The sequence below is a fragment of the Homo sapiens genome, chromosome 15, assembly GCF_000001405.40.
Source record: "Homo sapiens chromosome 15, GRCh38.p14 Primary Assembly".
NCBI lineage: Eukaryota > Metazoa > Chordata > Mammalia > Primates > Hominidae > Homo > Homo sapiens.
In genome coordinates, this window is record NC_000015.10 from 28,788,243 (window position 1) to 28,802,178 (window position 13,936).

General features: G+C 40.0%; 2 pseudogenes across 2 annotated transcripts in view; both read left to right on the forward strand.

Moving 5' to 3' along the window:
- Positions 1 to 1,150, forward strand: LOC100289656 (Dexi homolog (mouse) pseudogene; annotated as a pseudogene). Its single transcript, NR_036475.2, has 2 exons — positions 1 to 105; positions 361 to 1,150. The product of NR_036475.2 is annotated as a Dexi homolog (mouse) pseudogene (transcript).
- A 441-nt stretch (positions 1,151 to 1,591) lies between these two features.
- Positions 1,592 to 13,936, forward strand: part of PDCD6IPP2 (PDCD6IP pseudogene 2) — a 66,741-nt pseudogene continuing 54,396 nt past the window's right edge. Inside the window, exons 1-4 of the transcript NR_037599.1 lie at positions 1,592 to 1,739; positions 1,883 to 1,925; positions 3,692 to 3,760; positions 13,128 to 13,250. The product of NR_037599.1 is annotated as a PDCD6IP pseudogene 2 (transcript). The remainder of the gene's footprint in view (positions 1,740 to 1,882; positions 1,926 to 3,691; positions 3,761 to 13,127; positions 13,251 to 13,936) is intronic.

A 13,936-nucleotide genomic window follows, 5' to 3' on the forward strand; every position in this document is an offset into this window, starting at 1 on the left:
AGAGAGGAACCTGGAGGGACCCTGTCCCTGACACCTTCTGGGTTGTTAGCTCCAGATCAAAAGAACTCCTGATTTGGAAAAAGCTTCTTGAAAAGAAGAGGGGAGGTGACCTTGGTGAAGCCTCTGGGGACATGAGCTATTTTTAGGGCTTTTGGCAGGAAAAGAGCTTTTGAAAACGGAGATAAGGCATGGTATTAAAAAGGCTTACATTGGAGAAAGAAATCATAAAACTCCATACAGTTAGGGCAATAGTTTTGTTTTTTACTAGGACAGCATCAGTTTATTGGAGTATTTATATAACATAAGCAAGGTCTCTTGATATTTTAACAATTAACAACTGGATTTTATTTTCTACTATAGGTGCAGTTTATCATTCTGAATCCAAAGCCAAGGAATATAAACATGTATGCAAACGAGCTTGTCAGAGAGTATCAACGCAATGTGTATCATCTATGCTTTTCAGTTTTGAACATAAAGCAGTGGCTCTGAGCGCGACTCGGAGGGCGACGCCGCGGCCGCAGCCATGGGTGCTGGGCCTGCAGGGGCGCGGGGGGGAGGGCGACGCTAGGACCTGCGGGGCCGGGCGGGAGAGAGGGCTGCCGGGACCGGCCCTAGACACTGAGCCGCGGTGGGATCCCCGCCGGCTCTGCGAGGCCCTGCGAGCGCCAGGGAGGCGCCTCGAGGGAGCCGGGCAGCCGCCGGCCACTTCAGGGGGGCCCGCCACTTCAGGGCGGTCGAAAGAGCCTTGGGGGCACATCTCGGGGTGCGGTGACCCGCCCGGCGCATTTCGGGGGTCGGGGCGCATTTGCCAGGGGACATCTGGAGCCCGGCCCTGCTTCTGTCGGGCTCCAGGGTACCCCTGGATGGCTGCGCTGTGCCCTCGCCGGCGGCCCGGGCGCCACAGCGGCTGAGTTCGCCGGGATCGCCGGGCCGCCGCCGCCCTTGCCACCGGCTGCATGCTCGGCGCCCGGGTCGCGGCCCACCTGGACGCACTGGGCCCCCTGGTCCCCTACGTGCCGCCGCCGCTGCTGCCCTCTATGTTCTACGTGGGCCTGTTCTTCGTCAATGTGCTGATCCTGTACTACGCCTTCCTCATGGAGTACATCGTCCTCAACGTGGGCCTCGTCTTCCTGTTCGAGGACATGGACCAGGCGCTCGTGGACCTCGGCGTGCTCTCCGACCCCGGCTCGGGCCTTTACGATGCTGACTCGGAGCTCGACGTCTTTGATGGGTACTTGGAGTAGGGTCTCGACTGCCGTTCCCCTCTTCCCTCCACGATCCGCAACCCACGCCCTGGACCAGCCGCCCAGATCATGGCGCCGCAGCAGCTGGTTGGGGGCACCATCTGGACGGGGATGGTTCCCCAGGAGGAGACCCTCCCCTGCCTCCGAGGCCTGCCTGCTACCCTCAAAAGCTTCGTGCCAACAGAGAGGTTCCTGTTTGGACCCAGGAGAGTGGAAGAGAGATTGGGACTGAGTGCTGAGATTGGGAAGGCACCTGCTCCCACAGAAGGGGGAACGCAAGGGGCGTCCCAAGACCTCATCTGCCTGCAGCGTCACACCGATGGCCTGGCCTCGGCTTCTCATTATTTGCAACTGCCATGGATGTTTACAGGAACCCAGCCAGAGTTTGCCTCCCTGCACTTCATCCCAGAGCGCACCTGCTTCCTCCACTTCACCTTCGGAGAGGACACTTCAAACTGCGGACACACGCAAAAGCAACTCCCAGCTCTGTTTGATGTGAGTTGAGCCTTCAGGCCAGCTGGGTTTAGCCCGAGGCTGGTCTTAGATGCAGCGACTGTTTCAGGGAGTGACTCAGAATAAAAAGAAGCTGAGGAAGCTGTTGGGGGGCTGAGGATGAGATTCTCGCTTCTTCATTTCAGGTTACTCGTTCCTCAGCAAGTTGGCAAAACAGATATCATGCTGGTGAGTGCCACGTTACTCCCCTGGCTGCAAATGCTTTTCTGAAAGTATGAGTGTCGTGCCTACTTAATTCTGATAAACCTGTTTAAGCAATACTTAGGAGGCTGACTTCTTTGGATTAAAAAAATGTATGCAACTCCAAAAAAAAAAAAAAAAAAAAGAAATTCAACATTTAAAAGTTTCATTTCTAGGGCAGTCTTCCGGTTTGGACTACAAAATTATTTTGCTTGTTTTTGTAGGGGATCGTTTTGTGTTGTTTTGTGTCTTTCTCCACATGATGCTTAGCTCTTTCCCCACGTCCCAGATTAAAGTCTGTATTTTTGTAATTGTGGGCACACAATCATATCTCTTTTAATCTTTGCAACGATGTTGAACTTCTGTAGACAGAAGGATAGAGAAAACAGCTTGAAGGCAGTCAGTGTGTTTTTCCATGAAGGGAAAAAAATAAATAAAAAAATTAAAATGGGTGCTTTTTTAAGAGAGATTGTCCTATACTTTTTCATTCTGTTTTTCATCACGTAGTTTGTATCATAGCAAGTTCATTGTCATTCCAGAGTTCAGCTTTGCCCTTGTACTCAGTTGTGCTTTTTTCCCATTGGTTTTTGAGGTTTTGCTAAACTGTTGAATATTTAATGTGGGGACAGGAATGGACTCAGAAGAAATGTTTTTTATTTTGATTCTTACTAGTCTTGTAGGCAAACCTTCCATTACTTTTTATGCAAATAGGATCTAGTTGAATATTGTATATCGAGTAAATATGCGTCTCTCTCTGCTCTTTTCGTTGATATTTACATAACATTAAAAAGATTATACTTTATCAGAGATTCAAGCTTTTTCTTATGAATGAAGCCCTATAAATAAGAATATTTTGTTACAGGGATTTTGTTCTTTTGAAATTTATAACAATAAAGCTAAAAGTTCTCTAAGCTGTTTTATATTTTTTCTTATTTTTCAAAGTGTGAAATTTTTCTATCATCTGAAAATAAATTTTATGTAACTATAGTCTTAGAAATTTAATACATTTGAATTGTATATTTAGCCTCTTTAATATTTCCAATGAATACACTTCTTAAAAGTTTAATTAGGAATACAGTTCTTAGTTTTTGAGCTTTCTCTTTGTTGACTAAATTGAAATGTTAATAAATCATTTATAAATGACTTTTCCTTCTCTCTCTTTTCCTCTCCTAATTTATGCTCAAGGCCAGGTGATTTTATAGACCTTTATTCTGTGTAGTTTATATTACAAAATAATATGTTACATCTTGATTTAGAATTTACATTATAGTATCCAAAATGTTTTTGTCAAATGTGTGCTTTTATCCTCAGATTCCGGCGCCCCTGTGACTCAGAGTCACTTCTTTTTAGGTATGGAGAGTATTAACGGGGAGGAGAAATGATTCGTTTGAGATTTAGTTATCTATATAAAATACGAATTGTCAGGATATTTGAACCAAACTGGGTCATACAATTTCTGTGGCTATTTTGAATAGCCTTACAATGAATTAAGCTTACTAAATTCCTTGTACTTTTCATTTAATAGCTAGATGTTATTGTTTTAATTTGAATAATATTAAGTGAGCCATATTACCAATTAACCTGAATATAAACACTTGCTTGTTTTTAATCTGAGTAGTTTATGTCTTAAAGTATGGAATGGAACTAGTGGTCAATTTTTATTAATCTAAGTGTCTCCCATACTTCTTTAAGCTTTTGGAAAGTTTGGGAAGTTGTGATTTTGCAATGAATAATCTCTCCCCTTGGTTTCATAGGCAATTGAAAAGCTGCAGGCGGGTGCTCTTGCAACTGACGCAGTCACTGCAGCACTGGTGGAACTTGAGGTATTTCTTTTCTCTGTTTTATTGAAAATACTTGTGAGTTTATCTTTATTGTTCTTAAATGACATGAAACTGTTGAGTTAGTCAACCATAAATTATATGACCAGTGTTGCCCACCAATATTAGCACAGTTATGAAGAAGCCTATGATATTGTTGTTTTCATTGGTGACTTTTCTGAGTAATATGAAAGTTGGTTAAATTCCTTCCTTTTCTTGATTTTTTTTTTTTTGTGAGATTCATGAATACAAAAGTTAGTGACTGGATACTGAAGTTTCTCATTTTCAGTAGGAAAATCCTTGAAGTTAACCCCCAAAAAGTGATGTATGTTCTGTTGTTTAAAAATAAATTCCAACTGTCTAGAAGTGCCTAAAGTAGAAGGGGAAGATTCTTCACGAACCTAACAGTTAGATATATACCCTGAAATTGTGTGCTGTGAAGTGTGCCTTGTCCCAGTGTTATGGTTAGGTTTGTCCCCAGTTTACTGTGGACATCGAATAATTGAGTGGGGAGGCTCTCACGTTTGCCATAATTTTTTATACTCTAGAGTGAGGTCCTCTCAGTTCTCTTGATTTGGACCCTTGATGAATTTGTGCAGGGGATATTGAGGTCTTCAGAAGATTGACTTGCTGCTCGAACTTGGAGAAGATAGATTTGTATCTATCAGTTGAGAGGATTATCGTGAAAAATATTTTTCTGGTTGAGAATACTCCTTAGGGAATCAAGTAAGACATGATGACGAAACAATGATGAGTTTGAGGGAGGAGATGATAGTTAAAGGCGACATTTCCAGGTTGACTGGGTTGTGGCCCTTGTATTCAGGCGCTCATACCAGGGCACGCACCCTTTCATGCCTTTCCTTGTGAAAATTGCCCAGGTGTTTACCAAAAGTCCTAGCCGTGTTTTCTGTATATTCTCATGCTTAATTGTGGACCTGAGCTTTTGATCATGCTTTGTAGATTTTAATTTCTCTTGGTAATGTCAGATTGGTCCTAATGTAGTCAAGGAAGGTGAAAGAATATGGTGAGCACCTAGTTCTATTGAATCTTACATGGGGATGTGTGATGCCCTCCTAATATGACTGATACATTTCATGCCAGCTCTACCAGTCATTAGCCATGTGTCCATGGGTGTGGCACAGTCTGTCCTTGACTCAGTTTCCCTATTTATGAGGATAATAATTCCCACTTCACAGAGTTGTGAAGATTAACTGAGTTCATATATGACTAATACAGGACAGTCTCTTAGAACAGTGTGTGGTACGTAGTAAGCACCCATAACTGTTAGCAATTATTACAGTTATGAGGTGCTTTGGAAGTGGTATGTATGAGATGAATATTTATGGTAACTATTAATGACAAGTTTTACAGCATCAAAGAAAGTTTAATTATATGTTGAGGATCAGAGGAGAAAAATGACATAAGAAAGAAGATAGATGTATTTACCACCAAATGTTACCTTTACTCAAAACAGACACACAAAGAGGGCTTCATCTAACTTAACTAATTCAATTGTTAGTTGGAAATTACTTGCATGGAATCAGCATAGGTTTGGGAAAGAAGGTTATTGAGTAGCTGGAGAATATACTAGAATGGCAACCATGAATGCAAAACTGAATAAAATTAAGTTTCTCTTTTTATCTTAGAATAACTTTAATTTTCCTAAGTCATACTTATATATCATGTTTAATATTTCATTCTATTTTCCCCTAGTGTTGAATCTGACTTTTAAGGGATTTACTTATTTATACTTAAAAATGATAAGAATACATTTTGAAATAATGAGTTTCTCCTGAGTAAGTGGACTTATAGTTTTGGATAACTTGTGTTTTTTTAAGAGTGTGGATATGAATTTAAAGGAAAAAAATTTCTTGTTCTATTATTTTTGATTGGAATAAGTCATAAGGATAATGGTAGCATAGAATTCTTCCCCAAGTGACTTTAGAGCATCCCACACCTCAACTTTTAGTTATTTTATTTTATATATATATATATTTTTGAGATGGATTCTCACTCTGTAGCCCAAGCTGGAGTGCAGTGGTGCGATCTTGGCTCACTGCAACCTCTGCCTCCCAGGCTGAAGTGATTCTTGTGCCTCAGCTTCCCATGTAGCTGGGACTACAGGCATGCACCACCACACCCAGCTAATTTTTGTATTTTTTTTTTTTTTTAGTAGAGATGGGGTTTCACCATGTTGACCAGGGTGGTCTTGAACTCCTGAGCTCAGGTGATCCACCTACCTCGGCCTCCCAAAGTGCTGCGATTACAGGTGAGAGCCACTGTGCCTGGCCTCAACTTTTGATTATTAAATTTGTGGAAGAATTTCAATTATCTTTAACAATTAACTTTTCTATGGACTCTTTGATTGAAATACATGTTAATAGTTTAAGGTTAAGCTTACACTAACAGGAAGAATTTTCCTAAATCTTAAGAATTATGTTGGAAATCATGCTTATACTGCCCCCTGCAGTTTCTCTCACCTTGAATAATTGTGATTCATTACCTTAAAACAGGATAGGTTTTCAGATGGACTTCAGTTGGGGAAGTATTGTAATAGCTTGGGTCAATGGAAAGACGTAAGAAGATTGGATTCTAATATTTTTGTACTTAGAAAAATATAAGTAGCAGTATTGAGTCCTTTCAGAATACTGAAAAGTGCTGAGAAAAATTCTGGAGAGCCTTATTAATAATGCATTATGTTTAATTTGAGAATAAATACTTATCTTAGTTTTGGTCAGTCTATTCAGTTAAGTCATGTCTGGATTATTGAACAGATGCAAACAGTCATTGTTCTCTTCTCTTTAGACTTTGGGATATACTTTTTGATTTAAAAAATGATGTTCTTGCCACTGAGCTTAAGGAAACAATACATAAACATATTTTTAAAACTTGCCCGTTATATTATTACTTAGGCAGATATTAAAATTGATATGAATTCCTTAAATACTAATTGTGGATTGAAATGACTGAAATGTTTTAATGGTCTTTATTGCCTAGAAAGAGTATCTGGCTGTATATTTTAAAAATGTGATAATTTGTATTTTCCCAAATAGTGAAAAGTATACTGATCTTAACTCCATGCAGTGAAGGAGGAAGAGACAAGGCAAAAGAAATATGTGTGTGTGTGTGTGTGTGTGTGTGTAGTAGTGTGTTCCACACACACTAAAGGGAATTATGCAGACATATCATTTTTTAGCTTTTCTTAGAGACTGATAATTTTGTGTCGTTTTATTTTTCTTTACCACCGCTACAGACAAGTGATGTCATCTTAAGACTGTCACTTCTGGACAACAGAATGAGGTGTTTTCTTCATTTAAGTAAAGGAGGAGCAGGTGCAAAAGTTCCTATCTATTAAATTGACCACCTTCTCCCTTTAGAGTTTTGGGAGGGAAGGTGGCTGCTTCTGTATGAGAGGTTTTCTGCAGTGTGGAAATGCAAATGATATTACTCCAAAGTATATTTTGTTTATCTTCAAAATGTAGGGAAGGAAATGGAAAGGTCAGTTTATAGATCATATTTTAATGATTTATTGGTAAGTTGATTCATTCCTGTTGTTTCGTATAGCTTTTTTGAGATTATCTTAATAACTGATGAGAAAGTGAATTCTGTTCACTGGATGGTACAACTCTGGTTTCACTCACAGCAGAGAAGATTAATATTGTGAAAGAATTTGGTCTTCATATTTGGGACTATACATTTGGATGCCAGTTGCTTTTTTGGCTGCTTTTGAAATAGTTTTGGATCAAGTAGTGACAGTGGATTTAAGATTCCAGACCATAATTTTGCATATTTCAAATGGTAAAACTTCTAATGTGAATTTCTTTTTTGAGAAAAGTGGATATAGAACTGGGTGAGTCATGATGCTACCATTTTCTTAGGATTGTTTCTAAAATAGAAAGTGTTTCATGGATTCTGATAGAAAATGAACTATCTATAAAATACTGCCTGAAGCTCCTTTTGCACAATGGTGTTTTTCTTAAAAAGTACAAAGACCTGGTTTAAAAAAGTCTAATGAGTAATAATAGGTGCAATATGAATGACAGACTTTTGGAAGGTAATTTATAATCTTTTGTGAGAAAACTGATGAATTTCGCAGAGGTTTTGAAGATCTTGTTGTAACCTTTGAGAAATTTTGGTTAATTCATTCTGAAAACTGATTATTTTGGTAGGTAGAATACCGTGTATTAAGAATAGTGATAGGGGCTGGGCACAGTGGCTCACGCCTGTAATCCCAGCACTTTGGGAGGCCGAAGCGGACGCATCACGAGGTCAGGAGATCAAGACCAGCCTGGCCAATATGGTGAAACCCCATCTCTAATAAAAATACAAAAATTAGCTGGGCATGGTGGCGCGTTCCTGTAATCCCAGCTAGTTGAGAGGCTGAGGCAGAAGAATTGCTTGAACTGGGACCCAGGAGGCAGAGGTTGCAGTGAGCTGAGACTGCACTGAGACTGCACCACTGCACTCCAGCTTGGGCTACGGACTGAGACTCCGTCTAAAAGAAAAAAAAAAAAAAGAATAGTGATAGGAATAGCTTTTACGTTTTATGTAGTAAAAGGCAAATTATACAGGTTCCTTTGTTAAAAATCTTTTGTTGAACTTCTGTTATTAAAAATGGACTGTGAAGTTTTTTATTCACTTAATTCATGCTTTAAAGCTCCCTATGGTCAGGGGAGATGCTAATTCATGGTTAAAACTCGTTTCTTGTCCAAATGCTTTAGCGTTTATAGGGCAGATTATATTGGGCCAAGTTTTTAGTCATTCTGTTAAAAACAGTTCGTCGTCTTTGGATCTCTGTGTAATACAAATATTGCTTGCTTGTAAACTCTAGGGAAGTCCTTTAAGAATAACTTGTTCAGATGACTGATATTTTGGTATGTAAGAGAAAGAAAGTAGGTATTTTCATTATATATTTATATTATATATAATACTGTTATACATTTGTCTGTATCTTTGTTGTTGTTGAGACAGATTCTTGCTCTGTCGCCCAGGCTGGAGTGCAGTGGTATGATCTCGGCTCACTGCAATCTCTACCTCCCAGGTTCAAACGATTTTCATGCCTCAGCCTCCTGAGTAGTTGGGACTACAGGTGTGCGCCACCACACCTGGCTAATTTTTTTTGTGTTTTTAGTAGAGACGGGGTTTTGCCACGTTGCCCAGGCTGGCCTCAAGCTCCTGGCCTCAAGTGATCCATCTGCCTTGGCCTCCCAAAGTGCTGGGGTGACAGGTGTGAGCCACCGTGCCCAGCCAGGTCTGCATTTCTTTAAGGCAGGGATCTCCAGAATGGGAATGTTGGTCACACTTGAGTAGTTCATTGTGAGTGGACCCCAGCGCAGGCCTCTTGCGCAGCTGCAGGAATAGGCCATATTCTCTCCCCTGGGCTTTATACTTCCGGCTGGAATTGTCTGTGTGCCTCAGGGGGATAGAAGAAACTTCTACGGCCTGCCAGTCCTTGAAATGCCTAGTGGTCATGGAGATGGTGTGGCTTCCTGATGGCATATGGGCATACCTAGGATGGAAGGGGACATTGGGAAGAGCTGATACATTTCCCTTTTCCCTCACCAAACTTATAACAAGTTTTCTTGTGAGCAGATGCTTAACCACACCCTGCTCCCTACCCTACTTCAGTCATTTGGTTTTTATTGCAAAAAAGGAGGGGCATCTACTTTAAGGTCATTTCTGTGATTTGGGAAGTTTAAAATTATTTAAATAAACGAGCATCTCATTTCCTGTACGTTTTTATTTTTGTAGAAATTATATTTTCATAAGCAGAGTGGTCCCTTGCTCTTTCCCCAGCACCCCCTGCCCCCCAGTAGAGCTGACCACACTGGAACGACAGCTTGATGCATTTAGCTCACATTTACGTAAGTGCTCATTAACTATAATGTGGCTGGTGAGTCTAATTTTAGACCTACCACCCTTGAAAATCTCATTTTTCTTTTCCATTGATAATATCTTTTATTCTCTGTAAGGGGAGTGGGATGTGTTTCTATGTATGTGAAGTAGAATATTTACCTTTTTTCTTTTGTAGTACTTACAATGTTTTCATTGCATGAAATTGGAGTTTTGACCTTAGGTGCTCTTTTTTCCTTTTTTTTTTTCTTAACTTGGTATTATTGATGATTTCAAAGATCCTATTTTGCCTGTCTGTTTAGCAGTATTCCCAGTGGTGCTTCAGTATTTCTGTGTATTCCAGCTGTTTATGGAGTCTTTATGTTTCTCTGCATTTTTTATTTTTTGAGGTGTACACACACAGTTACGCTTCATGGAGTTGCATCCAGCCAAGTATCCATGTTCTTCTTGTGAAGAGGCAGAGAAAATCACCTCTCCCAAGAATTTCCACCTTCTGAACAAGGGAAATGTATCCTTAAGAGCTGTATGCAGATGGGAGGCAACTTGTTTGCTTGTTCTGCTGCTAGAGCATTGGTTTAATTAGAAGACAGGCTGTGGGTGGCCATGTGCAGACAAAGAAGCACCAGACAGAGCCCGTTTAGCCTGGGTCAGTAAGAGTAAGTTACACTCTTTTTAAAACACTTTTTTGAGTACTGATGCTGATTCTTGCCTTCAGTACTAAGGGGCAACTTGTAACTTACTGTTTGTGTTTACACATAGATACATCTGTTCTTTTTCTGAGACCCTAGAAATGACACATGCTCTCTAGCACAAAGTACCTGCGCAATGGAAAAGCAGTGATTTCTTCCCCAACCACCCTTTTTTTTTTTAAGAATAAAAAGAAAATGGAATCAATGATTACATTCTAGATTAATTTTACACTGTAGCAAACCCGGTGTTAGCGTTTGACCAAGTCAAAACACTTAAGTATAGAGCTTGTCATGCTTTTACTTTGTAGTAATGGGAACATGAGAAACGATTTTAGCCTTTTCCAGCCATTTCTTGATAAGGTATGTGGGTCTCATCAGATACATTCATCCAGGCCGAACCTAGTAGAAGAGAGGGTCCAAGATCAGACCTAGCAGTTCCTGAGGAGCATGGAACTCTATATGTGTGCCCTTGTTTTTCTCTGGGAGTTGTTACTCTCAAAAATATACTTCATTTTGGAATTCAGTTTTGAGCTACCTAAAGCCACATATGGTAGTGTGGTGGAGTTAGTGGAAATCCTGTGTTTTTGACTATGTGAAAGCAATTTAGACTTTTGGATTTTTGAGTGTACAATGTCTTCTAGTCCTATATTAATAGGGATATTACACAAAAGGGATTTAATTAGATTCATTGGTCCTAGGATTTATAGTGTTGTGATTTTTGAATCTGTGTGTGTGTGTGTGTGTATTTGTGTTTGTTTGGATCTGTATCATTTGTGGCATCAGGTTTATACCTTAGCATCTACTGTTTTGGTTTGTTTTGCTCTTGGTAATGAAGGAAGTAGGCTAAAAAGATTTTTCTATGTTTGGAAAATCACAGGCTGGTATGATGGTGTTTAATTTCAAAGACTACCTTTTGATTTTAAGTTTTTTTCCATCTCTCAAACCCACCCCTTTATTCAGAATCTGGAAAAGAATGAGGAAGAAACTTAAGTTACATAATTTTTAAGATTCTCGGCCTGGCACGGTGGCTCACACCTGTAATCCCAGCACTTTGGGAGGCTGAGACGGGCAGATCATGAGGTCAGGAGATCGAGACCATCCTGGCTAACACGGTGAAACCCCGTCTCTACTAAAAATACAAAAAATTAGCCAGGTGTGGTGGTGGGTGCCTGTAGTCCCAGCTACTTGGGAGGCTGAGGCAGGAGAATGGCATGAACCCAGGAAGTGGAGCTTGCAGTGAGCCGAGATCGCGCCACTGCATTCCAGCCTGGGCGACAGAGCAAGACTCCGTCTCAAAACAAAACAAACAAAAAACCAGATTCTCATCAAGATTCTAAATCTTGCTCTTCTCTCTTTCTTTCTCTTTCATGTGTTCATTACCTAAGTGTTAGAATAATGAAGGATTGTACCTCACTATAGAAATCAGCTTAAAGTTGAATCTTAGACATACCAATTGACAAAAGTTCTTTGGCCATTCCCATTGCCAGGCAGTTTTTACTGGCAGTCATTCTCACTCAGGGTCCAGCCTCCTGCATGGTGTACACATTTCCTGACAGCTCATGACACGCATGTACTGTAACACAGGACATCAACACTATAACACATTCATAGTGGGGAATTTATTTATGTTTAGTTTTTCTGGAGTATGTGCAAATGTAAGCATATTTTCTAGTGGGTTGGAAGTCTTTTTATTAAAAAAACCTTAGTAGAGGACTTAAAAGTTACTAGTATCCCTCTTTCCTCTCCAGTTCTGACCATGTCATTTGATAAAAGGATGGTTTAAATTATTATAATTCCATGGTCTGTTAGGTTCTTCTTGAGTGATATTTCCATATTATTGTCAATATGGTTAAAAGGTATAATTATTTAGGTTGAAGGGAAGTATAAGTAGATGTATACAGCAGATGGTAGCCTCTAGCTGAGATCCCAAGGAGAATATCCTGTTACTGGGAAAGGGTGATTATGTGTTTATTTAGCAAACACAAAGTGTTTACCATGTGCCAGGTACTCTTTAAGCACTTTACAAATATTGGCTCATTAGTTTTCACAAGTGCCCTGAGATGGGTACTGTTGTTAGCCCTGTTTGATGAGGATACTGATGCACAGAGTGGTTAAGTAATTTCCTCAAGGTCACATAGCTAGGAAGTGTTGGAGCCAGAAATGGAATCCTGCTGCCGTGACCCACTCAGTCAATTTTTTTTTTTTTTTTGAGACCGAGTCTTGCTCTATTGCCCAGGCTGCAGTGCAGTGGTGCAATCTCGGCTCACTGCAACCTCCGCCTCCTGGGTTCAGACGATTCTTCTGTCTCAGCCTCCCCAGTAGCTGGGACTACAGGCTCCTACCATTACACTGGCTAATTTTTGTATTTTTAGTAGAGATGGGGTTTCTCCAAGTTGGCCAGACTGGTCTTGAACTCATGACCTCAGGTGAGGCACCTGCCTCAGCCTCCCAAAGTGCTGGGATTACAGGCCTTAGCCACTGCTCCCGGCCCCTCATTCAGTTTAATCAACAAATGAACAGCGTCACTAAAGATCCCTCAAACTCAGTGATGAACACATCTGAAAAAGTTAAAGAAAATTAAGTTCAAAGAAGAAACTTTTCATTGTCACCATTGTCGGTGAATGTAGTGATCTAAAAATTCTCTTTATCATTGTGCTTTAAATAGTGATTTAGTTTTGATCTTTAAATGTCAATAGACTATTGATATTTTGATCTTTAAATATCAAATATGTATGGACTATGTGAATATTGAAAAGAAAATATGAACAGTCACTTTTACAGTTCGGGTTTTTGTCTTAAAATTTTGTTGTAATTTCTCTTCCTAATCTTAGATCTGTTTGAGGAGATGGTGCCTGTGTCAGTGTGGCAGTCTTTGGCTGCCTGTGATCAGAGGAAAGCCGATTTGTTAACAGATCAATTGCTCAGATGAGAGAAGCCACCACTTTGGCAAATGGGTAGGTAGAGCTTAATTTTAGAGCCTAAAGTTTTCCGTTTGGTTGTTCTTTAGTTTGTGAACATTTTAGTTTCTGAGCTTAGAGCTAAATGTCAAGAGTATATAAAATAGAAAATGTAGACACACACAACTATTTTTGGTGGACACTGTATTTGTGAAGCTCTAGCAAATATAGTTGGAAGAAATTATAGAAACAAGGTGAGGATGTTTGACTAAAAATTTGTATTTTAAGAGATATTTATTTGGGGGAAATGAGAAGTAGAAATGAACTCAGATACATGGTACGTTTAGTGTTCTGAACCAATTTTTGTTTCTGATGGATTGGATACTAAGAAAATAATTCATTGGTTTAAAAAATTTTTAGGTATATTTTGCACACACAAAATACACCTATTCTAAGTACACAGTTCAATTATTATTATATGTATATATATGTTTATGTGTGTGTATATATATATTTTTTTGTTTGTTTTGTTTTGTTTTTTGGGACAGGGTCTTATTGTCACCAGGCTGGAGTGCAGTGGTGTAAACATTAAACATGGCTCACTGCAATCTCAACCTTCTGGGCTCAGGTGATCCTCCTGCCTCAGCCTCCTGTGTAGCTGAGGCCACAGGTGCAAGCCACCGCACCTGGCTAATTTTTTCATTTTTTTATAGAGACGAGATCTCGCTTTGTTGCCCAGGCTG